This window comes from Homo sapiens, chromosome 2 (assembly GCF_000001405.40).
Source record: "Homo sapiens chromosome 2, GRCh38.p14 Primary Assembly".
NCBI lineage: Eukaryota > Metazoa > Chordata > Mammalia > Primates > Hominidae > Homo > Homo sapiens.
This window is the reverse complement of record NC_000002.12, coordinates 132,142,484-132,169,543: the sequence shown is the minus strand read 5'-3', so window position 1 is coordinate 132,169,543 and position 27,060 is coordinate 132,142,484. Positions and strand designations below refer to the sequence as shown.

The following is a 27,060-nucleotide window of genomic DNA, read 5'->3' as shown; positions in this document are numbered from 1 at the left end:
TCCTGAATAGATGAGACTACAGGCATGCACCACGACGCCCAGCTAGTTTTTGTATTTTTAGTAGAGATGGGGTTTCACCATGGTGGCCATGATGGTCTCGATCTCTTGACCTCCTGATGTGCCCACCTCAGCCTCCCAAAGTGCTGGGATTACAGGCGTGGGCCACCGCACCCCGCCACCATTCATCTTAATATGTAAGATTATGTAAAATGAACTGAGAAGGCTGAGTCTTTTAGAATTGACCTCATGCAACTCACACAAATGTGTGGAACTAATGAAGAAATATGGGGCACACCAAAGAAACCCAATTTATTTTAGCCTCATCCATTTTATAAGGCAAAATTTGTCACAGTTTTTCTAGAGGTCACCTAGGAAATCTAAAAAATTCTTATTTTTCCCTAAAAATCAGAAAATATTTACTTTTTGGAATTTAAGATATAATTTCAGTTGGGCAAAAATTAAGTGTTATCAAAGGAGATTTGGTCACTGTGATAAAGATAGGAATACAGGTGCAGAGAAGAAAATGGTGGCAATAATCCCAATGACAATACAATATTCTAAAATAAGCATAGAAAAAGATATCATAATTGTTAGAAAATGTATCCCTTTCATAATTAATTATGCTGTACAAATGTTTTTTTTTCTTATTTTTCTTTCTAGCTTCATTGAAGTATGATTGATAAATAAAAATTGTACATATTTAAGTTATATAATATGATGTAATGTATGTATACATTGTGAAGTAATAGCCACAGTCAATTAACATTTTCATCAACTTACAAAGTTACACTTTCTCTGTGTGTGTCTATGTGTGCTTGTATGGAAATACGTAAGACCTACCCTGTTAGCAAAATTCAAGTATACAATACATTCTTATCAGCTGTAGCTACTATGCTATATATGTTAGGTATCCAGAATTTATTCATCTTTTAACTAAAAGCATCTCCCCATTTTTCCTACCTTCTAATCCCTAATATCTAATGAGTTTAAATTTTTTAGATTTCACAGATAAATAAGATTATGCAGTATATTTGTCTTTCTGTGTCTGGCTTATTTTACTTAGCATTATGTTCTCTCAGTCCATCAATGCTATCACAAATTTTAGGATTTCTTTCTTTTGTAAGGATGAATAATATTCCATTGTATGTATATGCCACATTTTCTTTATCCAGTAATCTGTAATAAAGGCCATTATTCAAAATACACAAGAAACCCTTCAAATTTCACAAGAAAGCAAACAATTCAGTTAAAAATGGGGAAGCAATATAAATGGATAAGTCACCAAAAGAAATATAAAAATGGCAAATAAGTATTTGAAAATATATTCAACAACATATGATTTTAGGGGGATAAAGCAATTCTATATATTGAAATTTCCTTTAACAAAGAAAGCAAATAGAAAACTTTCTCAGAAAAACAAAATTTAAGTGATACATCGTCAGCTGACCTGTCTTGCAAGAAATACTAAAGGAAGTTCTTCAAGTGGAGAGAAAATGATGCAAGTGAGAAATTCAGATACACAATAAAGAAGCAATAAATGAAAAAGAATAAATTAAAGTTAAAAAGTTTTTTTATTCTTATTGACCCATAAGATAACTGTTTAGTTACAAAAAATGGGTAATTATAGAATGTGGACAGATGAAATGAACAATAGCAATGTCATAAGGTACAGGAGGTACAATCTGGTAGTATTTTTATGAGATACCTACACTACGTGTGAAGTAACAATTTTATTTGAAGATAGACATAAAATATATATAATCGATTCTAATTAATTTAAAGATAGACTTAAAATGCATATAATCAATCCTAAGAAAACCACCGCAAATTTTTAAAAGAAGTGATGAGATCACATCTCATGAGGTGATGAGATACACCAAGAGCTGAGACAAAAATATAATCATAGAAGATGATCAATTAAAATAAGAGGAGGCAGGCCAGGCACAGTGGCTCCTGCCAGTAATTCCAGCACTTTGGGATGCCAAGGTGGGTGGACCACCTGAGGCTAGCCCGACCAACATGATGAAACACCGTCTCTATTAAAAATACAAAAGTTAGCTGGGTGTTGTGGCACACATCTGTAATCCCAGCTACTCTGGGCTGAGGTGGGAGGATCACTTTAACCTGAGATGTGGAGGTTGCATTGTGCCAAGACTACCACTGCACTCCAGCCTGTGTGACAGAGTGAGGCTCTATCTCAAAATAAAATAAAATAAAATAAAATAAAATAAAATAAAATAAAATAAAATAAAATAAAATAAAATAAAAATAAATGAATGTAATTAATGTTTATATTCTACTTCAACAAAAGTAGAATACACATTCTTCTCTAGCTTGTACAAGACACACTGCATTATGGGCCATAAACGTCTTAAAATTTTTCAAAGAATAAAGTTCATACAAAGTACACACTCAGACCACAATAAAAATTAAAGTAGAAATAAATAGCAGGAAGAATTGAAAAATTTTTCAAATATTTGAAGACTTAACAAAACATCTAAATGCATCCCAAAAGAAGACTAAACAGTAATTAAAATATTTGGAATTAAATGAAAATGAAATCACAACTTATTAAAATATATGAGATACAGTAGAACTAGTACCTAAATTTATAGTATTAAATGCATATTATTATGAAAAAAGAGATAAAATCAATAACCTAAGCTTCTGCCTTAAGAAACTAGAAAAAGAAAATCCAAAGTAAATAACAAGGGAAAAATATATAAAGTTTAGCAGATATCAGTAAAATAGAAAACAGGAAAACAATAGAGAAAATCAATGAAACAGAAAGCTGTTTCTTTGAAAAGATCCATAAACTTGCTAACATTTAGACAAACTAATAAAGAAAAAAAGAGAGAATGAACAACTTACAAATATTGGAAGTGAAACAGGGGTATGGGTTATGACTACTGATTTTGTGGACATTAAAAGGATAATATATTTACTATATTAAAAACTCTATACTCACAAGTTCAATAACCTATATAAAATGGACAAATACCTTGAAAGACACAATATGCCAATACTCACAAAAGAAAAAATAGATAACATGAGTACGCTTATATCTATAAAAGGAATTGAATAAATAGTTAATAACCCCCCCTCACCCCCCCAATGTTTCCAGGCCCAAATGGCTTTAGTGGTGAATTCTATCAAGCATTTAATGGAGAAATTATACCAATTTTCCACAGACTTTTCAAGAAAATGGAATTAGAGAGAACACATCCTAATTCATTCTGTGAGGTAAATATTACCCTCTTACCAAATCCAATAGACATAACATGAAATAAAATCAATATATCAATATCTCTCATGAACAAAGATTCAATAATCCTTCACAAAATACTAGACAATTGAATCTAACTATGTATTTATTTTAGGTAAGAAAGTATGCAAGACTGATTCAATATTAGAAAATTATCTGCAGAATTTCCTAAATCAACAGGTTAAGGAAGAAAAATCATGTGACTGTATCAACTGATGAAGAAAAAGCTTATGGCAAAATCTATCACCCATCTATAATTTGAGAAACTCTCAGAAAACTAGGAATTGAGGTGAATTTTCATAACTTGACAAAGAACATCTACAAAACCCCTAAAACTATCATACTTAATGATGAGAAATGGGATGCTTTTTCCCAAAAACCAGGAGCAAGAAGAATTTTGTTTTTTGTTTTTTTTTCTTTCACCACTTGCAAAATGAAACCACCACTTTGGAAGACAGATGGGCAATTTCTTATGCCCATAGTTGCTATACTATATGTAAAAAAAAAAAAAAAGTCTTACATATAATATAGCAATTGTGGTTTTTTTTGTTTGTTTTGAGATAGAGTCTTGCTCTGTCACCCAGGCTGGAGTGCAGTGGTGCAATAGAAGGATACTGCAACCTCCACCTCCTGGGTTCAAACAATTCTCCTGCCTCGCCTCCAGAGTAGCTGGGACTACAGGCTCCTACCACCATGTCCGGCTAATTTTTTTTTTTTTTTGTATTTTACTAGAGACAATATAACCTGTTGATTTGGGAAATTTTACCATGTGGCCCAGGCTGTTGTCCAACTCCTGAGCTCAGGCAATGCGACCGCCTCGGCCTCCCAAAGTGCTAGGATTACAGGTGTGAGCCACCGCGCCTGGCTGCAAATGTGTTTTTAGGTGTTTATCCACCTTATTTGAAAACTATGTCCACACCAAAACTGACACATGAATATATATATAGCAGCTTTGTTTATAATTCCCAAAACTGGAAGAAACCAAGAGGTCTCATAATTGATGAATGGAAAAAAAAAAAAAACTGATACGTCATATAAGGGAATATTACTTCCTAAAAAAATAAATGATTTGGCAAAAGATTCAGTGAGGAGGTTTAATAGGTGAAGCACGTGGGCATTATTTGGACCAAAGTATTCTGTATGATACCACAACTGTGGAATCACGATAGTATGCATTTGCGTTTTTTTTTGTTTGTTTTTTGTTTTGAGACGGAGTCTGCTCTGTCGCCCAGGCTGGAGTGCAGTGGCACGATCTCGGCTCACTGCAAGCTCCGCAACCCGGATTCACGCCATTCTCACGCCTCAGCCTCCCAAGTAGCTGGGACTACAGGTGCCTGCCACCACGCCTGGCTAATTTTGTTTTTGTATTTGTAGTAGAGACGGGGTTTCACCGTGTAGCCAGGATGGTCCCCATCTTCTGACCTCGTGATCTGCCCGCCTTGGCCTCCCAAAGTGCTGGGATTACAGGCGTGAGCCACTGCACCTGGCCTGCATTTGTTAAAAAACAAAGAATGTCACTTAATATATGCAAATTTTAAAACAACAACAACAACAAAGTAGGTGTTCTGGGGATCCTGAGATGGAATGCAGAATGTGATAGAAAATCTAAAGTACTACAAATGTATAAAGCCACTTCACTCTAGGGAGTGGGAAAAACGTGCTGACATAAGCATCTTAGAAAATGGATGGGCCTTCTGTGGTGGCTCACATCTGTAATCCCAGCACTTTGGGAGGCCAAGGTGGGCGGATCACCTGAGGCTGGGAGTTTGAGACCAGCCTGGCCAAAATGGTGAAACCCTATCTCTACTAAAAAGACAAAAATTAGCTGGGCATGATGGCGGGTGCCTGTAATCCCAGCTACTCAGGAGGCTGAGGCAGGAGAATCGCTTGAACCTGGGAAGTAGAGGTTGCAGTGAGCCGAGATCACGCCACTGCACTCCAGCCTCAGCCTGGGCAAGAAGGCAAGAAGAGCAGAACTCCATCTTAAAAAAAAAAAAAAAAAAAAAAAAGAAAAAGAAAAAGAAACAAAGAAAATGCATGAAGACTGAAAGGAAGAGAAACTGCAAACAACTCATGTGATCTGGTTGGTATAGCTGTCTCCTACAGGAAATGGGATAGCGATTCTGATATTGATAGAGAATGAATGTATATTGGAACTAGACAGTTAAGCAAACGGATGACAAATGACAGGAGCCTGGTTTCTCATTATTAAAGTGGGAGGTTACATGTAAGCAAGGGGAGAAGGCCGGAATGATCATGTGATAAAAGAATTGAGTCGTAGACATCAGTATGAACTAACACTTACACACATTACATTTAGAAATATTTATAGTTATGTGTATACACAGCTTTGTATACACACATTTATTTCTTTGCTCTGTAAACTAAGACGGTCTAGAAGCAATGATATCCCAGCAGAAATGAGCATATCTAACACTCAAGTCTTCAATTCTTGGGTTTTTGTTCATGATCCAGGATCCAGGAGTTGGGCCCTGGGGCTGGGCATTGTGTAGCCTCCGGGGTGGTGCTGAGCATCCATTCCCACCCTCCTGCAGCTGGGGACCCATCCCTTGACTTGGGCCCCCTGGAGGCAAGAACATGGTCACCCACTTTAATCACATGGTCCCTATCACATAATCAGAGGGCTCTGTGGGTTTTAATTCTTCAAGCTAGATGTGTAAACAATTCGACATAGATAAGATATAGTGACTAGAAGTCTTTCATTTATTTATTTTGAGAGAGAGTCTCTGTTGCCCAGGCTTGGAGTGCAGCGGCACAAACAATCAAACAATAACCAAAATCCAGAAGACTGAAAAGGTCAAATGCTGTCAAGGATGGGGAGCAACAGGACCTCTCATTCCTTGTTTGTGGCACAATCAGTTTACTGTACCCACGAACTCCCAGGCCCAAGTGATCCTGCCACAATCAATCTCCCAAGTAGCTGGGGCCACAGGCATGCACCACCATGCCTGGCTGATTGGTTTTATTTTTATAGAGATAAAGTTTCCCTGTGTTGTCTAAGCTGGTCTCAAACTCCTGGGATCAAGTGATCCTCCTATCTCGGTCTCCCAAAGTGCTGTAAGTACAGGCATGAGGTCCTGCACCCAGCCTGGAAGTCTTTATAGATAAGTTCAATTTAACTGTTTCTCCATCTGCTCCACTCAGCCGAGTTTCCCTCTCAGTCCAAGGGTGAGAACTGCAGCTCAGCCCCATCCAGGAGGGCTGCAGATGACCCAGCGCCACTGCCATACTCCAGATGCTGGTCAACGAGGAAGGGATCCTGAGGCCTGGCAGCGGGCGCTCTCAGGAACCTTGAAGCCCTCTAAACGGGACCCGCCATCCGTGCCTGTCAGAACTGTAGCCGCTACCTGCACTTGGCGCACAGGCAAATACGGCCAAGCAACCCCAAACTCCCCTCTTCCCCTCTGGGCCCAGGCGGCGCTGAACCTGCTGCTCAGCCGCATCCTGGCGACTGCACAGTGCCCAGAGCCTGCAAACCAGCGCTCAGGGCGCGAGCCAAGGAAGAGCAGGGCCTAGAGTGGGAGGGCGTGTGCCACACGGCTACCCTCAGGCCGTCGGGCCCAGCCCTGCAGCCTCTACCGTGGGCTCAGCTGCAGCTGGCATTTGAAGGTGGCAGCAGCGGTGGCAACCCCCGAACCTGTCCGCGCCACCAGCAGGCGAACCCCAGGGTCGGACACCGCCACTGCGCCTAAGTCAGGCAGTGGGACCTCAGTTGCAGGATCGTGGGAACCTGCCGCAAAGCCTCATCGCCGCAGCTGTACAGGGCCCAGTGGTGGCAAGCCTGCGCTGCCAGCGCGAGCCGAGGAAGAGCAGAGCCCCGGGTGGAAGGGCGATGTACTCGGCGATGCTCAGCGGTCTGGGCCCAACCCTGTAGCCTCTACCATGGGCTCAGCTGCAGCTGCCACCTGAACATGGCACGTGGCAGGAGAGGCTGCAACCCTGACCCTGCCAGCGCCACCAGCCGCGCGGATACTTGGGCCAGAAGCCTCCAGGCGCCTAAGTCAGGGATGGGTCCCTGGCTGCAAGAGGCCGGGAACCGACGCTCAGCGCCACCCTGGAGGCTGCACGATGCCCAGCGCCAGGGCCCAGCTCCTGGATCTCAGGTTGAGGAGGGGACAGGGGCAGCTCTGTCAAGCAGGCCATGTGGCAGGGAGCCCCCCACGTTCCGCTCCAGGGAGCCCCGCCAGCCCGATAGCGCCTCAGTAGCAGGTGCCACCTGCACGCCGTGCTGGGCGAAGCGCAGCCAGGGCGGTTTCCTGCCTCGCGTGTCTCCCAGGTCTGCTGAGTTGCGCATGCGCTGTTGCCTAACGGTTCTGCTCAGCTGCCTAAAGGTTCTGCTCAGGTGCCTAACGGTTCTGCTCAGCTGCCTAACGGTTTTGCGCAGCCATTTTCTCCCGGGAGAGGTTGGAGTGTCCAAAAGCTTGGCCCGACTGAGATTTCTAGTCTTGTCAGGGCGGATGCAGGGACTGAAGAAGGGCGAGGGCGAGCGGCGGGGACTGGGGAAGGGCGAGCAGCGGGAGGCACGGGCTCTCTCTAGCAGGTGGCTGCAGCCATGGAGAGGCTCTCTGCCGCCCCTGTCAAGGGCCAGACGGGCCCAGAGCGCCCGAGCCCCTTCAGTCAGCTGGTCTACACCAACAACGACTCTTACGTGATTCACCATGGGGATCTCAGGAAGATCCACAAAGCTGCCTCCCGGGGCCAAGCCTGGAAGCTGGAGAGGATGATGAAGAAGACGACAATGGACCTGAACATAAGAGATGCGAAGAAGAGGTACCAGGCCCTGCCTGAGCCGGGGCTGCAGGAGGAGGAGGAGGCTGTGGGAGGATCGCCCCTTCAGAGTGGGGCCTGGGGGTCCTGGGGACGAGGGGAGCAGGTGGAGGAGTGGCGGGCAGCGGGGCGGCCGTCCTGGGCCCCGAGGTCTTGGCCTTCTTCCCGGGCAGGTCCCCCAGGCCTTGGATGAGGGCGCCCTGCAGGGCGGAGGGCACAGGCCACCTTAAAATCAACCCCAAACTTTAGCTGCTTTCTCCTTCACTCCCACTTCCTCTCACAGAGCACTGTGTAGAGAATTTTAAAGTGATTTAACTTATAAAATTAAGTACATACAGGGTTTTACTTTTAATGTACAGGTTTTAAAAGATGTTAGATACATTATGAAATGGTGCATAATGAAATAATTCCCATAATATATTAACTTCTTGGCTAAAAATTTTTTGGATAAAGTCCAGTATCCATTTCAATATCAATGAATGTCTATGTAAATATATTCTTTGCTGAGGGACCTTAGAAGGTAACTTTGAGGTGGGAAGATGGTTTATGTTTTCGAATTTAAGAAGACTCATTTTTCTGAAGATGCAAGTTCTTTATCAGTTTTACATAAACCAAATAAAGTTATCAACGTTTTAACATTTTTAAAATTACACACGCTGTCTTTTACTATTGTGGTGACATTTAAAACATTTTGTAACGGAGTAGAAAAGTCTTGCCCTTCTAGATTTCAAAATGTGCTATTAATTTGCACAAAATGGGCCATGGCCAGGCGCGGTGGATCATGCCTGTAATCCCAGCACTTTGGGAGGCCGAGGTGGGTGGATCATGAGGTCAGGAGATCGAGACCATCCTGGCTAACACGGTCTCTACTAAAAATACAAAAAATTAGCCGGGCGTGGTGGTGGGCGCCTGTAGTCCCAGATACTTGGGAGGCTGAGTCAGGAGAATGGTGTGAACCTGGAAGGCAGAGCTTGGAGTGAGCCGAGATCGCACCACTGCACTCCAGCCTGGGTGACAGAGCAAGACTCCGTCTCAAAATAATAATAATAAATAAATAAATAAATAAAATTTGAAAAAAAAAAAAAAAAAGGGCCAGGCGTCGTGGCTCATGCCTGTAGTCCCAGCACTTCGGGCGGCCAAGGCGGGTGGATCACCTGAGGTCAGGATTTCAAGACTAGCCTGGCCAATATAGTGAAACCTCAAATCTACAAAAATACAAAAATTAGCCAGGCAGGATGTCGGGAGCCTGTAAGCCCATCTACTCGGGAGGCTGAGGAGGGAGAATCGCTTGAAACTGGGAGGCGGAGGTTGCAGTGAGCTGAGATCCCATCACTGCACTCTAGCCTGGGAGACAGTGAGACTCTGTCTCAAAAATAAATAAATAAATCACAAATTATTTGATAACAGCTGAAAAGACAGGTAAATGAATACAACAGAGTAGAAAATCCAGAAACACCCAAATATCTAAGAATTTAGAACTTGATAATGCTCACAGGTTATACTAGTAGGGAAAGAATTAGTTTCATAAGTGAAATGCCTGCTTTTTGGAGAAAACTAGATTTTTATGCCACAAAGTAAATTTCTGATGGAATATAGATTAAATTTTTTTAATATACAAAATGATAAAAGCACCAGAAGAAAACATAAATACCTATTTACACAGGTACATTTTTATGTTGACAACACCTTTCTAAGAAGCTCAGAAGCAAGCAGTCTGAAGGATAATTAAGCAAAACAAAATTAAATTAAACTGTAATGAGAAAAAATAAAAGGCAGCATACTTGTAAAATATTTACTACACATGTATGTGAGTGTGTGTATACATATTAGATTTTTAAATCGTCATTTTATAGATAATTCACTTAAATCAACAAAAAACCCGCTAATTATAATTGAGCAATTTAAGTTAGAGATATAAATTGCAGATCTAAAAATAGTACTTTGCTTCTAATTTAAAATTGGGAAAGTATTTTCTTAAGATCTGTAAGTGACCTATGCACACAGAAAACAATATTTAGTGTTCCTGGTTACAGAAGGCATTTAAGTTAAAAAAGGAATCAAATACTGCTTTCTATCTACAAAGTTTGTGAGGATAAAGAGCAGTGATATTTATACTGCTGTTTAAAGTTTAAGTTGCAGATAACTTTTCAAATAGACAATTTGGTGGTAAGTACCATATTATTAAGAAGAATTCATATAATGACTTTTATAAATACATTTCAGTGAATTTACAGCATGGGATAATATGTGACCACTGAAGGTAGAAATATGTAGAGAAATAGGTGACATTTGAAAATGTATTCTGGTGTATCAAGTGAGGGTAAAGTTCAGTTTGATTATACATACACACAGACTACAGTCTTGTGTTATCTGAAGTTGTGTATGAAATATGATAAAATTTGTTATTTGAGGGTGTTTAATATAAAATGTTTTTCCTTTTTATTATCTTTGATTTCCACATTGAGCATGTACAATGCTATTAGAAAAAGTTTATTATTAATGAAAAATTTTTGGGAAGAGCAGAAATATAATTTTGCACCAATAAAAATAATTTCTCACTTTCCGTAATTTAATTATTACTTTTTGTGGATTAGTATATTCTGTGAACTTTTAGCATCTTCAAAAGACAATCTTTTTACCTGTGCTTGTTGATTTACATATACATCTTATTAGACACATATTTTTATTATATATAGATTTATTACATATATGTCAATAATTATAGATTAATTAGTGTAGTTTTATTATTAAGAAAATAAAATAGAAAATATAAGTGCTTTATTTATAGCAGTTTTTTTAAGGTATTGAACTTCTCAACTGTATTTATCCTTTTAATCAATTTATCACATGTAAGCTGAATGCCTATTATGTAGAAGATACATTAACTCTCAAGATCCTTTCATCCTTAAAAATTTCACATTTACCTGCTCAGCCTTAGCAAAGTGAGAGATTTAAAGTTGGAGTACTAGGAATGAATCTCAATTGAAGATTTTCCTCTCATCTTTAAAACAAAAACACTTCTGAAGTAAGAAACTAGTAAAAGATAACTACCAACCACGATTTTGGAAATTTATAACAGCTTTAAATAGTAATATTAATCATTGGAAATACCTAATTTACATGCATTCTATAAATTTAAATATGAATTTACATACATTCTGTAAATCTAAACATGGAATAAAATAAGCCATACCTTCTTGAATCCCAAGTTTTCTTTGGCTTGAAGTTTTAAAAATATTAAAGAAGTACTTTGTTTTAACAGTTTGTTTTTATTTCAACTCTCCTTTTGTATAGCACTCTTAAAAGCTAAAATTTCTTTAAGTGTTAATCCTATGACTAAGACTGCCATCATCCTGTTGTATATACCATATTCCACTTCATGGAAGGCACGGTGAATTGTGTGATGCCTCCTTATTTATGTACCAATACAAGATTGTTTAAATTTCTGCAAAATATACTTGTAACAAATAATGACTTATAAGCGGCATTTCAATGTCAGAGATGTTAAAATACGAGAAATAGAGTATTTCAGAATTATTAAAATAGCTTTATCTCTAACCTTTAAAACATACCACAAATTAGGCATAATTGTACCATTTTACTTAAAATGTTTTCTTTGTTAAGTAGTAGAAATAATTACATTATCTATCAATTACTGAGCTGTTACATGTGCTAGGAATTCTTCCAAATACATTGCACATATTCTCATGAGGCATCACAGTGATGTCCTGTGAGATAACTACTGTATTCATCTTCACTTTATTGATGAGAAAATTGAGGCAGAGAAAGGTTAAGTGATAGTAGAAGGTGAAAGACTTTAAAGTAATATTCAAGCCCAAGTTGAACTGAATCCAAAGGCCAAGCTCTTTCTGTTCAAACAGGCACTCTTTCATTAATGTAGTGAGTAATAACAGTGAAGGAATATTGTAGTTTCTTCAGGAGAATATTAAATATTTGTTTTGAAGGCAGAGAAAGAGCATGGTATTTAATGTTGACAATTACATAAATCATTCTATGTTTTGAGACAGTGGACTAAACTTTCCTTAAAAGGCCTCTCATTCTTGTAGGACTGCTCTATACTGGGCCTGTGCCAATGGCCATGCAGAAGTAGTAACACTTCTGGTAGATAGAAAGTGTCAGCTTGACGTCCTTGATGGTGAAAACAGGACCATTCTGATGAAGGTAAATGGTAGCCAGTTCTTTCAGCAGGAGATGGATTTGGTTTAAATACATAGAATAAAAATGAATCTATCTCATTGAAATATAACTGGTTTGTGAAACCTGTGGAATATTTATTTATATTTCCTATAATTTATAATTTACTTTTTGCTTTAATACTGACAGGCTCTGCAATGCCAGAGGGAGGCTTGTGCAAATATTCTCATAGATTCTGGTGCTGATCCAAATATTGTAGATGTGTATGGCAACACAGCTGTCCATTATGCTGTTAACAGTGAGAATTTGTCAGTGGTGGCAAAATTGCTGTCCTGTGGTGCAGACATCGAAGTGAAGAACAAGGTAGACATTAACCAATGTTATTTTCAAAATATTTGAAATCCATTTGTTTTAACATTAACATATGTAAATTGTTTTATATTTGGAAGCTCAAACATTCCTATTTTTCTATGAAAATAGTTTGAGAAAACTTAATTGTCTAGGATTTTGCTTTAAATATTAATATTTTTACAAGAACTATTAGTATGGCTTTTCTGTGCATTATGATAAATATTTAAATTTGTTAAAGGTAAAACATTTTCAAATATTCTTTCCCACCCAAGTTTTTTTTTTCTTTCCAGTTAGTGTAAAACTACAGGAAAGTAAAATTTGCCTGCATAAATTGAGTCAACATGTAAAATTTAGGAGACATGCAGAAATCTGGATTTCCTCTTAAAGGATTGAATCTTGTGTCTTTTGAGCCCGTATGACTGTTTGGTATGCTATGAAGACATTCTAATTTTACATAAAGCATATGTTTCCAGTTTGCTACTGTGCCCACCTAGTTACATCACTTATTCAACTTACCTCTTTTGCCTCTGTAAATATTTCAGTTATCAATTCCTCTCTCATAGTACATTTGGGTAAAGATTTCAAGTTATTGAAGACAGTTTATAGGTGTTTATAATATATAGTTTATATTTTACATTAATTCATTAATAATGGGGTTGTCTTCTAAAATTTAGAATATTTTTTAAATGATGATTTTTCTTCATATAAACCATAAATAATCATCTTCTATTAGAAAGCCTTTAAGCCTTTTTAGATTAATCATGTTTGTATTTGAATAGGTTATGCATATTGCAGAAAAAATATTATATCTTTCTCCACAGAATTGTCCCTTAAAATTCAAGTGATTTATGGCTTCTATTTTGCTAAGCCACATACATGAGTTAGAACTTTCGTTAATAAGCCGTTTTATTCATACTTCTGATATTTTGCCAAAAAATAGTATCAATTACAATAGAAACCAGAATAAAAGTGGATTATTGCATTTTAAGAAGTAGATATGCATTAGGATCCTAGGAGTATCATTATAATAGAGAATAAACTTTTATACTGAATTTCTTTTCTTTTTTTCTTCTTTTTTTTTTTTTTTGAGACGGAGCCTCGCTCTGTCACCAGGCTGGAGTGCAGTGGTGTGATCTCGGCTCACTGCAATCTTTGCCTCCCTGGTTCAAGCGATTCTCCTGCCTCAGCCTCCTGAGTAGCTGGGACACAGGCATGTGCCACCACGCCCAGCTAAATTTTTTGTATTTTTAGCAGAGATGGGGTTTCACCATGTTGACCACGATGGTCTCGATCTCCTGACCTTGTGATCTGCCCGCCTTGGCCTCTCAAAGTGCTGGGATTACAGGCATGAACCACCTTGCCTGGCCTTGTATACTGAATTTTTAATAGCCGAGATAAAATCCTATTGTCTGGTAATAGGATAAACCCCATGGACCATTTAATAATAAGCAATCAAAGTTTATTTGAAGCCAATCTCTTTTAATTTAGAGCCACTTCCTTAGTGACCCATTTAGAGCAGGAGTGCCTGACATTGGCATTTGGAATCTTGGAATCATTGATAGAAGAGAATCAAGTGAGTTTGTATCAGCCAGAGGAAACCTCCATTTTTGGGGGGAAGCTTTCAAAACTGTATCCCTGAAATTCTAATTTGTCAAATGTTAATGTTTGCCACAAAAATATACTGTCAAATAAGGATTAGGTAAAGTTCAATTCATTTCTTGAATAATGAATATTTAATTCACAGTTTTATAACATTTCTTGAACATAGATAATGGTGGAATCTTTTGGGGTACAGTGCTTCTGGTAAGGTAATTATTCTTTGGAATATAGTTGAAGAAACACTGTTCTAGAGGTAATAATTTAGATTACTAATTTAGTAAAAAATAAAGTATTTACTACTATGTCTTAGGGTTTAAGGACATAGAGGTAAAAGATACAGCCCCTGCCCTCAAGAAGCTCTTGGTTTACATGGGAAACAATAAAATCATTACAATATAATGATTTTTGGAGATAACTAGAGTTAATGTGGTGATGCAGAGGCTGAATGTTTACAAGAGAAGGTGCAGTGCATGGGAAAGCACAGAAAAGTGAGAAAGAAGGGATTGCTATTGATTTACTTTCCATTGTTTAAGTTCATAGGATATTATATAAGGTATTCAATTCAGCTGAGAAATATGTAATTTCATGAATTATAAATTGTTTTTGCTGTTTTACAGGCTGGCCACACACCACTTTTACTGGCCATAAGGAAAAGAAGTGAGGAAATTGTGGAATTTTTACTGACAAAAAATGCAAATGCAAATGCAGTTGATAAGTTTAAATGGTATAGTAGTTTTTTTTATTAAAAAACACTTGAGTAGTGTGCTAGAGTAATAACTCTCAAGTCAGAAATATTAAATTAGTAACATTTACTTAAAATTATTAGATTATGCAGAAAAATACCAACACAAATTATCAGTTAGGAAGAAAAGCAATTATTTGGACTGGTCAACACAAAGAACAGTATACAGTAGGATTTTCTTCTTTTATTATATTGACTGATTCTTATTTTTAATCTGATGTTTTTGGTTGCATTATCTTCTATTAGCTAAAGTGGTTCTGTATTAGTTTTAAGAAGTATGAATTTTTAGTTTACTTTATAATTCAGTATTGAATGATTAACACCTTTATAGTATTTTTCTAACTTCTGTTTTTCATACACTTTTAAAAAATGCAATATTTGCTGGGCATGGTAGCTGTTGTCTGTTATCTCAGCACTTTGAGAGGCCAAGTGTGTAGATCACCTGAGGCCAGGAGTTTGAGACCAGCCTAGCCAACATGGTAAAACTCCATCTCAATGAAAAATATAAAAATTAGCCAACCATGGTGGCACAAGCCTGTAGTCCCAGGTACTCAGGACAATATTATTCCTAATATTGTTTTAAGTCTTCAGATTGCTCTCACTTGTCCGACTTCTAGCTAACTTTGAAGTACAAAATATTATATCAGACTAAGGAGGAAATAGATAATTCTTCACTTAAAACTTTGCCTCTTTTAGATTAGTGAACAGAACGTATTTTCTTGCCCCTCAGTGGACTTTATGTTAGCCAATTCTACTATGCCATATCCCAGTGAGACATGAGTCTTTTCACCCCTTCCTTTTAGCCTTGGTCGTGATTTACAAGGATAAACACTTGAGCACTCAAGATACTTAACGTTTGTTAATACATGTAAATGGTTAATTCTATACTGACAGGCACATATTAAATTCGTTCGTTCCTAATAATGAAGTTATCTCTTTGTTATTTTAGCACAGCCCTCATGCTTGCCATATGTCATGGATCATCAGAGATAGTTGGCAAGCTTCTTCAGCAAAATGTTGACATCTGTGCTGAAGCTACATGTGGAATGATTGCAGAACGTTATGCTGTTGCTTGTGGATTTAATCTCTAAGTGTTTACATTTAAAGGCTAGGTGAGATTTTATAGTTTGTTTCAGGTAGTTTTTGAATGACAGTGAGTTAGTTCACTTCATCAGCCAGAAACTAGGCAAAAAGCTGACTAGTTAGAAGGATTAATGGCTCCAGGATTCTTTATTTTAGGGCTTTAGGGACGCTAATGTTGTCTACTTGATTTGAAGTATAACCCCTATGCATGGGATAAATATAATGTCACAATTTTGGTTTTTCTAATTAGTTATTTGGGTCTCGAAAAGTCCACTTTAAGCAGAAAACCTGATAATGTCCCCAGGGGGCTGTCTTCCATACCTTTATTCTTGAATTTTTTAAAAGAATCTGAACCTAAGTCCAAGGAAGACATTCCTTTTGTACAAGTCAGAAGGATTGGCGGTGGGGGCAGAAATGGCCATTCTCTTCATTTTGTTGTTTCCATTGATTCTATTGCTGCATCGTTGCCATTGAAACTGCTCCTGCAGTCTGGTAATGATTGGCCTTTGTGACCAGGAAGCCCTTACTAACACAGGTTCTTCAGTCTTCATGGTGTAGACTTCGAAGTTACTGCATGTTTTTAAAGTTCACGTACATATTCTCAGCCATTGTTTCCAAAGTACCAGCACCCCACTCTGGCAGCTAGAACTTTTAGCTTTAGCCACACACATAGTGAGCAAATTGACTCTTCTCCTCACACTCAAAACCTGATGTGAAACCCACATCTTAGCCTGGACATGGCCTAGACCTTCATGGTAAGTTATCCTTTGAGTGGCTTTTTTCTATTTTCTCTAGCCAATATTAGTTGTGGTCGTTTGAAACTGTAAGTCAGGTTGAAATAATGTTACAGGAAGAAATTAGAGATCCATTTTGTCTTTGTTACCAGATCTATATCCCTGGCCCTTTATATCCTGTGTAGCACCATTTTGTAGGCAGTGGACGGTCTCATTCTGTAAAATCCCATGTCATCTTTCCCAAGTTGTAGTGGGTTCCAACTTGTGGTTGTCCCCTCAAGTGATTCTTTTTTCCTAAAAGTAAAAATCTCCCATGCTACTTACATCTCTACCTCGAGTTTCTAAAATATTTTCAAATGCTGCATCACCATGAAGCCATTCAATAGACTTCACTAAATCTCAAGTAAGTTGGTTAGATTTAACAGAGCTAAGCCTCATCCATCACTGATCAGTCTTCACGTATAAAAGTAAGGATTTGTGCTGGCTTCAGTGGTACATATAGTAAAATTAAAACAACGTTGAGAAGATCAGCATGGTCCCCGCACAAAGATGACATAGAAATCTGTAAGGTGTTGCATATTTCTTGGAGTCCCCAAAAGGACATTTTACTACTTTCTAACTAGCTCCAAGGAAATGGTGTGAGTCAAAGCAAAATGGGTGACACCCAGTATTGCAATTGTGATTTTCATACAAAAAATTATTTACGTAAGGTCATCTATGAAATGAGATGTGGTAACACATAGGATCTTGTGTGCAATATTTTGTTAGTAGGGATCTCAGAAATGAGAAAATACCAACTTGCATCTTCTTTGTGGAACTTACAAAAAATAAAGGTAGGGTTTTGTCTTCCACAGCAGCTGGAAATGAACATAGTGACTAAGCATCATTCTAACAAAGATTTGTTGGTTCAGAGTTTAAGGAGGTAGATAAAGACTAGTAGTAGTCCAAGCCAGATGCTGACATCTATTAGTTTTCTGCCCTTGGTGTGACTGATGAGCTCAGTAATAGAGTATAATTTGGTTATCTGATTTAATGATTTAATATATTTATAAATATATTTCATTACAAAATATAAAATAGCTTAGATGCTCTGAATTACAAGCCACAAAGAATAGAACATCTAATGTCCAAAAGTAGGAATTAATAACAGAAAATTGCAATATTTGAATATTATAACCTATGAAGAAAAACATTTTTTTTGTTTTTTTTTTGTAATTTAATTTTTGTTGAGACATGGTCTCCCTATGTTGCCCAGGCTGGTCTTGAACTTCTGGATTCAAGCAATCCTCCTGTCTCAGCATCCAAAAGTGCTTGCCTCACAAGCATGAGCCACTGCACCAGGCCAATATATTGGGTTTTATTGGGAATTTTAAATTGTTTCAGCAATAAGGTTCAAGAACAAATTTTTTTTGCTTCATTTTTTATTTTAAGCATTTTTAAAATGTTATCTTGTTAAATCTTTATAATAACCTAGTGAAATAAGGCCCTAAAATCCTCATTTTTAGAAGACATTGAGTCTAAGAGAAGCAACTTGTTCAAGAAAAAATACCTGTTGGTAGCCATGCTAGGACTTATTCCGAGTTAAGGACATTTTCCACATGTCAAGCTACCTCTAGTTAATTTACTGAGTTATACTGCCCTCACTTCATGAGTGTTTTATCTTTCTTTCTTCTTTAATTAGAAGCTTAATAAGTTCATAGAGCTTACAAACTTAAAGTCTATGGAAAAAGTAATGTTCTGATGTTAGCTCTAATATTGTCTGAAATACCCTAAGAATGTAATAAATTTGGTAAATATTTTTTATATCAATGTTAAAATAGTGATTTTATTTATTTCATTTTTATACATAGCGTTCATCAACAACTTTTGGAATATAAACAAAAGATATCTAAAAATTCTCAAAATAGTAATCCAGGTAAGACCTCTGATAGTAAACTACTCTTGGTGGTGCTACCATAAGATTATAGGAGTGTTAATCACAAAAGAGCTATTAGAAAAGCAATGTGTAAGTAGCATGTGTTTACATATAGACCTATATGTGTTTTTTTATATACAAAGCTTTGATTTAATTTTTTAGTTTATAATTCAGAATTCATTAAGAATTTAGTTGTAGGTAGTTTATAATCTCAAAAATATTATCTGAAAAAATGTTTGTTTAATTGTGGTCCCTAATATCCTATATAATACTTTTGTATAAATAAGTAAAACAATTTTTAAGTTTATCTATTTTATGTTTCCTCAACTGTCATAAAAATTTATGCTTGTTATAAAATGTATAATCCTTGGTGTGATTGATGAGCTCAGTAATAGGGGATTATCAGCTTATCCAATTTAATGAATTAATATATTTATAAATAAATTTTATTACAAATTATAAAATAGCTTAGGTGCCTTGAATTACAAGCCACAAATAATAGAACATCTAATAATGAAAAGTAGGAATTAATAACAGAAAACTGCAACATTTGAATATTATAACCTATAAAGAAACACAGTTAAATAAACTGTTAAATAAACAAATATTTGTTTGTTTATTAAACATAAACATATAAAATGTTTATTTGTTAATTTAACAAATAAATTATTTATTTGTTTGTTTCTTTATTGTAGAGACATGGTCTCCTTATGTTGCCCAGGCTGGTCTTGAACTTCTGGGCTTTATTTAATTTTTGTAATAAATGATTTGCATTCAGAAAATTAGAATTAATTACAGTCGAGTATTGAGCAACATGAGAGTTAGGGTGCTGATCCCCCCATGCAGCTGAAAATCTGCTTTATAGGAAAATCTGTTTCTTTTGACTCCTCCAAAACTCTACTAACATTCTACTGTTGACCTGGAGCCTGAAAAAAGTTGAAAGCATAAGCAGTCAATTAACCCATAGTTTCTATTTTATATGTACTATATACTGTATTCTTAGAATAAAGTGAGCTGGAGAAAAGAAACTTATAAAGAGGAAGAAATATATTCACTATTTATTAGATGGAAGTGAATTATTATACATAAAGGACTTCATTCTCATTGCCTTTATGTTGAGTAGGCTGATAAGGAGGAGGCAGAGGTGAGATTTGTCTTAGTATCTTGCAGTGGCAAAGGAAAAGAAAAATCTGTCTATTAGTGGGCTCCTAGAGTGAAAACCCTTATTCAAAGATCAACTGTGTGGCATAGTGACTTTTGTCACTAAAAAAGTAACTATCTTTAGAATTTGGATCTCAATAATACTTTTCTTGCACCCTAAATGAATGTCAATAAGAATTAACATAACTTAGTGAGGGTGCATCAGTACCAGTAGGAGATTATTTTTCAAAGATACCTACTGAGTGCAGAAGTCAGAAAAGCAATTCTTTGTTGAGAAGTACAGGTTATGTTACATAGTCTTGTACCAACAAGGTCTCACTATTATCAACTTCATTCCCTCTAAGTTGAAACCAAATAAGATATGTTTACTTCATTAGAACAAGATGTGTTGTTCTATCTGCTGAATAATTAGTGTGTTGATAGTAATTTTGTTACAACAAGTTACTCTGTTCCTACTAGCCAAAATATTATCATTATAAATATAAAACTAGCTCAACTCTAGGCTCAACGAATTATAATAAAAGTGGAAAAAATTTTCACAATAACAAAAGTGCTACTGTGATACCTAAATGTGACACAATACATTGTACAATATGAACTGTATGAGCACATCTTTAATTTATTACATATTTATCAAAGGACTTCTATAAGTTAGATTTTGCAAGTTGCAGGAGACCAACATGGAATACACATAGTCTGGGTCTTTAAGGTGCTCATAATACAATAGAGCTGTCTCTATTGAATTTCTTCATTTTTCCAACAGAATTTCCTAACTATGTTTTCTATTTGTTTATCCACTTGTCCACTTAACAAATAACTGTCAGGTATCATTAAGGTACTAAGCATCTTTCTTGCTATTATCATTGTCATTTTTTATTATTTACTAGTTTATTAAGGTACTTAGCATTTTTCTTGTTATTATCATCTTTTTTATTATTTACTACTTTATTTAGTGCTTACTCTGTGCGAGAACCCCTTTGGGAGCTTATAATTATCACTTATTATGTCATTACCATATTCAGTATGTGTCAGACATTTTATATCCAACGTGAAGAATTAAAGCTTTAAAAAGTTTGGTAGTGTCCAGGAGCGGTGGCTCACTCCTGTAATCCTAGCACTTTGGAAGGCCAAAGCGGGCGGATTGCTTGAGCACAGGAGTTTGGGACCACCCTGACTAACATGGTGAAATCCCATCTCTACTAAATACAAAAAATTAGCTGGGCCTGGGTGGCATGCATATGTAATACCAGCTACATGGGAGGCTGAGGTAGGAGAATTTCATGAACCTAGGAGGCGGAGGTTGCAGTGATCTGCTGAGATCGTGCCACTGCACTCCAGCCTGGGCAACAGAGCGAGGCTCTTGTCTCAAAAAAAAAAAAAAAAAAAAAAAAAAAAAAAGGAGAAAACAAAAGTTTGGTAGTATTTAAGGAAAGCAAGCTGAATGAGTAGAAGTTTTCCAGGTAAAGAGTCAGAAGGATGATATTTAGCGAAGGAAAATTTAACCAGACTCTGTGTTTGGCAGAAGGAACATCTGAAGGAACACCTGATGAGGCTGCACCCTTGGCGGAAAGAACACCTGACACGGCTGAAAGCTTGGTGGAAAGAACACCTGATGAATAGGATACAGTGAATTCCTCTTCAAAGATTTTAGCCTGTAAACATCCTTTAAAATTCAAGAGGGGGAAGATTAAGTACAATGAGTTCTGAGTTCCTCATCAAAGAACAAATATGTCAGTATGTTCAGCTTCTCTGTTCTTTGTTCTCCGTTTTAAAGTTTAACTTCCTCGTTCGTTATGCCTCCTTGCCCCTAGTTTCATTAAACAGCCCCCTTCTAGCCTCTAACACCTGCTTTGTCTTTAGTCATTCTTAGTAACCTGCTCTGTCCTTAGTCATCCTTAGACACCTGCTCTGTAACTGTCTTTCCCGCTGAAACTACTCACCCTGCCACTCCAGCTCATACCCCTGCCCTCTTTAAATAGCCAATCTGAATTGGCTTAGAGTGTGCAGTCCAACCCTATCCAATAGGGAAAAGACACAACAGTAGGGACTAGCTGCGTTAGAAATAAGAACACTTTCCCCTCCCTTGTCCGGTGTGATCTTGCCATTGCTCCATCTGCAAGACCACTCTTCCATAGAAGTAAATTTGCCTTGCTGTAAAAACTTGTTGCTGGAGTGCTGACGGTTCTTTGCGGCGCTGAAAATTTATTTTCCACAAATTTAAGGGCCCACCCAGCATTCCCATTCTCCTCTAGGGGAGGGTCCAGTCCTCTCCCTTGAGGAGGCGCACCCCGCTGCCTCGTTGCAGTGGCCATAAAGGTAAGGAATCAAGACTCAACTGGTGCGATTAATAAACCCGGGCTCTCAGCAACGTGGAAAGAAACAGGCCAGCAACTTTGGGGAAAGGATCTTCACATACCGTGGCGACCAGGTAACTGTGCACAGACCGAGGTAAGAAATGTCGCAGGGGTGACAAAGTATTTCCTTGGTGGTCGGGATATTCTGGAGGTTGAAAGTGTGTGTGAATGATCACAAGCACTACTGCTTGTGGTGCTGTTTGTGTGGATGATACTAAGCATTATTGCTGTGAGGAGTGAGTGGGTCCTATCTGCGGTTTTTTATTTGAATAAAAACCTTTGAAGAGGAATTTACTGTATCCTCATAGGGCTCAGGGCAGATCTTGCTGTGGAGTTTATACCATGATGCCAATGCTAAGAGGGACCTAAAATTCCTGGGAGGGAAGCAGCCAGAGTGGATGAAGCGAAAGAAGGATGCAAGGAGCCTCCAGCAGGTGGCGATAAAGGATAGGGAAGAAATCTCTAGCATGCGGGATTGAGCCTAACCAGGACCTAACATGGGAAAAGCCCCAAGTAAGATAGGGAGCAAAAAAGAAGAGGATAGTAACAAAGACATGCCCCCTGATAGTCCCCTGGGTCTCATGTTAAAATATTGGAAGAATAATGAGAGGACTAAACATAAGAAAAAGCATTAGAGGATAAAATATTGCTGTTTCATTTGGACCCAAGGTCCCATTTTCAAACCCTCAATCTTCTGGCCAAAGTTTGGGTCGATTGAGGATGTAATATGTCAACTTCTAATTCAATATGTTAATGATAAAAATCTGGTTTCTCAAGAAGAACTAGACTATGCTCTTTGTTGGAGACAGGGACCTGTCTTTATTCCCATAAAGACAACTAGGGAAGAACCCGATCCAGTATCTCAAATTGAAAAGTCAGACGAGCTGACTCCCACACCTAAAGCCAGCACATGGGATCCCCTATACCATTTTGCCCTGCTCAGTGCCTCTGACCCTTCCCCTCGGGCAGCTGCTGCCACCCCAGATCCCACCCCAGATCCTTCTCCTGCTCACGCTGTTACTCCTCCTTACAACTCTAATTCTTGGATGTCATCATCCCATGAGCCTGTCCCCTGTCAGCCTAAATACCTCTCCCTAAAGGGACTCCAGCATGAGGTACAGCAATGTAAAAAGGACGTTCAGAACTTCCCTTTTCCCTCCACACCTAAGGAGTCAGCCCCAGCTCTCTTCCCCTTAAAAGACATGTCACAAGGAGGAGGAGCCATTGTATTTGTGAATGCTCCCTTGACCAGTTCAGAAGTCTGAAGTTTGAAAAAGGAAATTAAGCCATCGTTAGACGACACTTATGAGGTGGCAGATCAGGTTGATCAATTCTTGGGACCTCAGTTATACACTTTGGTCGAGTTTATGTCCATCCTAGGCATCCTTTTTTCGGAGGAGGAAAGAAGCATGATCTGATCCGTAGGGCTGCTATGGCAATTTGGGAATATGAACACCCTCCTTGTCAAAACGTTCCTACCACGGACCAAAAATTCCCTGCCCAAGATCCCCGGTGGGATAATAATAATGCAGCTCACCAAGAAAACATGCAAGACATAAGGGAAATGATAATGAAAGAAACTAGGGAATCAGTACCCCAAACTCAAAATCTCTCTAAAGCATTTGATATACAACAACAGGAGAGAGATGAGTGGACTATGAAATTTTTAGACAGACTAAAGGAGCAAATGAGAAAATATGCAGGCCTAAATTTGGAAAATCCCCTGGGACAGGGAATGTTAAAGCTCCATTTTGTCACTAAAAGTTGTCCAGATATTTCTTTTTATTTTTTTGAGATGGAGTCTCTCTCTGTCACACAGGCTGGAGTGCAATGGTGCGATCTTGATTCACTGCAAGCTCCGCCTCCCAGGTTAACTCCATTCTCCTGCCTTAGCCTCCCGAGTAGCTGGAACTACAGGTGCCCACCACCACGCCCAGCAAATTTTTTGTATTTTTAGTAGAGATGGGGTTTCTCCGTGTTAACCAGGATGGTCTCAGTCTCCTGACCTCGTGATCCACCCACCTCGGCCTCTCAAAGTGCTGGGATTACAGGCATGAGCCACTGCACCTGGCCAACATTGTCCAGATATTTCAAAAAAGTTACAAAAATTAGAAGATTGGGAAAACTGACCTCAAGTGAACTTCAGTGAGAAGTGAACCTCAAGTGAAATGACCTCAAGTGAACCTCAGAGAGACTCAAAAAGTATCTGTGAAGAGAGACGAAGAAAAGCAAAAACAAAAGACAAAACTTATGTTATTCACCTTCCAACAGATGGCTCCAAACCCATGTACCCCTAAACAAAGCTTCCAGTGGGCCAGAAACTATAAAGGTTCCAAACCCTCCTTTAAAGGACCCAAGCCTCCACTGGGAAGATCAAGGCTCTCGTCTACCAGGCCATCTAAATAGCATGGGGGAGTAAAATCAAAGAATCCCAGAACTGAGAGTGGGGAAGGGCAAGGTAGGCACTACAAATGTGGAAGAACAGGCCACTTCAAGAGAGAATGTCCCAAATTAGAAAAGGAAAAAGAAGCCCTTCCACTCATGGCTTTTGAGGAAAATAATGGTGTCAGGGGTTCTGTCTCTTTTATCTTGAGTCCCACCAGGAGCCCTTGATAAGTCTAGAAGTGAGACCTAAGCATGAGTTTATAATCTTTTTAGTCAATTCAGGAGTGGCTCGATCCTCTGTTTGTTTCCCCCCCATCTAATATTGCCTGCTCTTCAGAGGAACTTTTGGTTTGTGGGGTAAAGGGAGAAGGATTTAAAGCAAAAATTTTAGAAAACACAGAAGTCAGATACCAGGCTCAATCAGCTCATATTCAGTTTTTGTTAATCCCTAAAGCAGGGACTAATTTACTAGGCAGGGATTTAATGTTGAAGTTAGGCATAGGCCTGCGACTCAGCCCAAGAGGATTCCTCACCTCATTAAAGCTACTTACCACTGCAGATGAAAAATATATTAATCCTAATGTCTGATCCAAAGAAGGAAACTGAGGGAAACTCTGAGTCCCTCTAAGCACATCAAGCTAAAAAACCCCAGGGAAGTAGTAAGGAGGAAACAATACCCCATTCCCCTAGAGGGCAGGATAGGGTTGAAACCTATAATTGAAGGTCTTATTAAAGATGGGCTTCTTGGGCCCTCTATGTCCCCTTATAACAGCCCAATATTGCCAGCCAAGAAATTAGATGGGTCATATCGGCTGGTACAGGACCTTAGGGCTATTAACCAAATAGTCCAAACTACCCACCCCATTGTCCTCAATCCTTACACCATTCTCAGCAAGATTCCATATAATAATCAATGGTTTACTGTAATAGATTTGAAGGATGCTTTTTGGGTATGTCTCCTGGCTGAAGATAGGCCAGATATATTTGCTTTTGAGTGGGTGGATCCCCATTCAGGGTAGAAACAACAATATCAATGGATAGTCTTACACCAAGGGTTCCCAAACTCCCCTAACCTTTTCAGTCAAATTTTAGAACAAGTATTAGAAAAAGTTATCATCCCAAACAAATATGCCTGCTCCAATACGTTGATGATATTCTTATATCTGGTGAAGATATAGAGAAGGTAGCTGGCTTCTCTACACATATTCTCAACCATCTGCAGTTCGAGGGGTTATGAGTCTCAAAGGGAAAGCTTCAGTATGTAGAACCTGAAATTAAATATTTAGACCACTTGATAAGTGCAGAGAAGTGAAGAATAGGGCCTGAATGAGTTGAGGGAATCGTGTCCCTACCCTTGCCTCAAACTTAAACAAGAACTCAGGAAATTTTTAGGATTAGTTGGATACTGCTGCTTATGGATTAACTCACATGCACTAAACAGTAAAATTCTATATCCAAAACTTGCCCAGGGGAATACTGACCATTTCCTGTGGACTTCTGAGGAAGTCGATCAGGTTGAAGAGCTGAAAAAAAGGCTTATAACAGCCCCTGTCTTAGCCTTACCTTCCCTGGAAAAGCCATTCCACCTTTTTGTCAATGTGGATAATGGGGTAGCTTTAGGAGTGCTCACTTAAGAACACGGAGGCCATCGGCAGCCCATGGTGGCCTTCCTGTCAAAAGTCTTAGATCCAGTTACTTGTGAGTGGCCTCAATACATCCAATCCATTGTGACTACAGCACTAATGGTCAAAGAAAGCAGGAAGTTAACCTTTGGAGGAAAATTGACAGTAATAACGCCCCATCAAGTTAGAACTATCTTAAACCAGAAAGCAGGGAGGTGGCTTACTGACTCAAGAATCTTAAAGTATGAGACTATTCTGTTAGAAAAAGATGATTTAACATTAACCACTGATAATTCCCTTAACCCAGCAGTTTTCCTAATAGGGGATCCAAGTCTAAAGAGATAGCACACATGTTTAGATTTAACTGATTACCATACAAAGGTCTGACCAGACTTAGGAGAAACTCCCTTCAGGATGGGACGACACTTATTTATAGATGGTTCCTCCCAGGTGATTGAGGCAAAAAGATGCAATGGGTATTCACTAATTGATAGGGAAACTCTTGAAGAAATTGAGGCAGGAAAATTGCCTAAGAATTGGTCTGCCCAAACTTGTGAGCTGTTTGCACTCAGCTGAGCCTTAAAGTACTTGCAGAACCAGGAAGTAGCCATCATACCAATTCTAAGTACACCTTTGGAGTGGCTCGTACATTTGGAAAAATTTGGACTGAACGAGGTCTCATTAATACTAAACGTCAAGATCTTGTTCATAAGGATCTAATCACCTAAGTATTGAATAACCTTCAGTTGCCAGAAGAAATAATGATTGTCCATGTCCCCAGACACCAGAAAAGTCTTTCTTTTGATAGTCTGGGAAATAGCCTAGCAGATTACATAGGCAAACAGGCTGCCATTTCTTTTAAAACATCTATTTTTCACTGAACTCTTTACCTTCCTCCTCCTACCA

The 27,060-nt window shown here is 38.4% G+C and overlaps 1 protein-coding gene and 1 pseudogene across 8 annotated transcripts in view, besides 1 other annotated feature; both read left to right on the top strand.

Annotated features, from left to right (window-relative positions):
* Positions 1 to 21,953, top strand: part of ANKRD30BL (ankyrin repeat domain 30B like) — a 110,443-nt gene extending 88,490 nt beyond the window's left edge. Inside the window, exons 1-7 of one of the 8 annotated variants that reach the window (NR_027019.3) lie at positions 7,589 to 8,056; positions 12,121 to 12,235; positions 12,398 to 12,571; positions 14,776 to 14,882; positions 15,850 to 16,012; positions 18,568 to 18,632; positions 21,316 to 21,953. Coding sequence is in view for 2 of the 8 variants with exons in the window: in NM_001358416.1 (NP_001345345.1) it covers positions 7,839 to 8,056; positions 12,121 to 12,235; positions 12,398 to 12,571; positions 14,776 to 14,882; positions 18,568 to 18,632; positions 21,316 to 21,413 (777 nt within the window). In the remaining 6 variants the exon portion in view is untranslated. The other 7 variants (NR_163999.2, XR_002959312.2, NM_001358416.1 and 4 more) reach the window with 7 other exon arrangements.
* Positions 6,799 to 7,299: an enhancer, noted in NCBI's record as "H3K4me1 hESC enhancer chr2:132919818-132920318 (GRCh37/hg19 assembly coordinates)". NCBI's record gives its function as "activates a minimal SCP1, AML or CMV promoter by ChIP-STARR-seq in naive H9 embryonic stem cells {active_cell/tissue: H9 hESC(naive)}" and the evidence as "EXISTENCE:reporter gene assay evidence [ECO:0000049][PMID:30033119]".
* On the top strand, positions 17,195 to 17,301 carry RNU6-1132P (RNA, U6 small nuclear 1132, pseudogene; annotated as a pseudogene).
* Positions 21,954 to 27,060: the final 5,107 nt, after the last annotated feature.